Source organism: Homo sapiens, chromosome 2 (genome assembly GCF_000001405.40).
Source record: "Homo sapiens chromosome 2, GRCh38.p14 Primary Assembly".
Taxonomy (NCBI): Eukaryota; Metazoa; Chordata; class Mammalia; order Primates; family Hominidae; genus Homo; species Homo sapiens.
Genome location: NC_000002.12, coordinates 108,013,995 through 108,015,199, shown reverse-complemented (window position 1 = coordinate 108,015,199; position 1,205 = coordinate 108,013,995).

Here is a 1,205-nt window from a genome sequence, read left to right as displayed (position 1 = left end):
CACATATTCTCTGACTTTAGAGAATTTAAATAAGATACAATGACTGTTTTTACTGTTTTGTAACTTTTCTTGAGGTGACAGTATAAAAATTGGAGAAACCATAATTATCATTATCCCATAGCTTTCTGGATCTCTCTCAAGAATGTCTGTTCTAGGAGAATGTTAATGATCAAATTTAAGCTCTCTAGATACAATGGTTAAAATGAAGATAACGTCCACGGGCCCTAATATTATATTCTGATACAGTCTCTTTTCTGGCTCTTAATAATTCCCCCCACACTATAGATTTGTGATAAAGCAAAAATGTATAATCTCCAGAAGTGTGTCCACAAGACGACAACTCGATGTGATGTTGCCCTGGCATACCTACTTATTCTTTCCTTCATTCGTCCCTACACTCATTATAGGCCCTTCTGCCCTATATACATCCAAAGGCACTAATGCTTATTATAATTAAGGTATGAAAGGCCAAAGTTCTTCTGAGAATGTATATAACTACATGTCTAAAGACATCTTGAGAGAGTAAGATGAGAGATACAGAGCACATAGTTGGAGCACAATGACAGCCACTTGTCACTTAGAGATTGACTTCATACAACAACTGTTGGTCAGCTGTTTGGTTTGAAAAATGCAGATCTTCTTTATGTGATTGGAACGAATATAATTGGAATCACCTGGCTGACTCAGTCAGTAAGCATGAGACTCTTAATGGATATTATTCTATTGATTTCTTTGATTTACAAAAGACCTGTGTACAATGGTAGAATGTCTTTTCCAAGAAAAACAATTTACATTTGTTTTTGAGCTATGATATATATTGCCCCAAGACTTACGTGAGGTGCAGCATTTCCACTTGGCATTTGCCTATCCTCCAGTAATGAGATGGTTTATTTTGATTTCATTGCATAATTGTCTTGAAGCACCATATATACTTAGTTTAAGAGAGGGCCCCCAAAAGCCAAATTTAGACAATGATACCCTAAATTGACCAGCACAATTTAATACATTGCCATTACACTTAAAGCATTTACACAGTTGCAAATATACTTATTTTAAGCATAATTTTATATAATAATTTGACAGACAAAAATATATGTTCTAGAACCATTATATGCATCTGTCTATGAAGTAGCAAACGTACAATAAATTACACATCATACCAGTGTAAATTTACATGAAGGCTAAAACAGAAAAAGAAATCATAA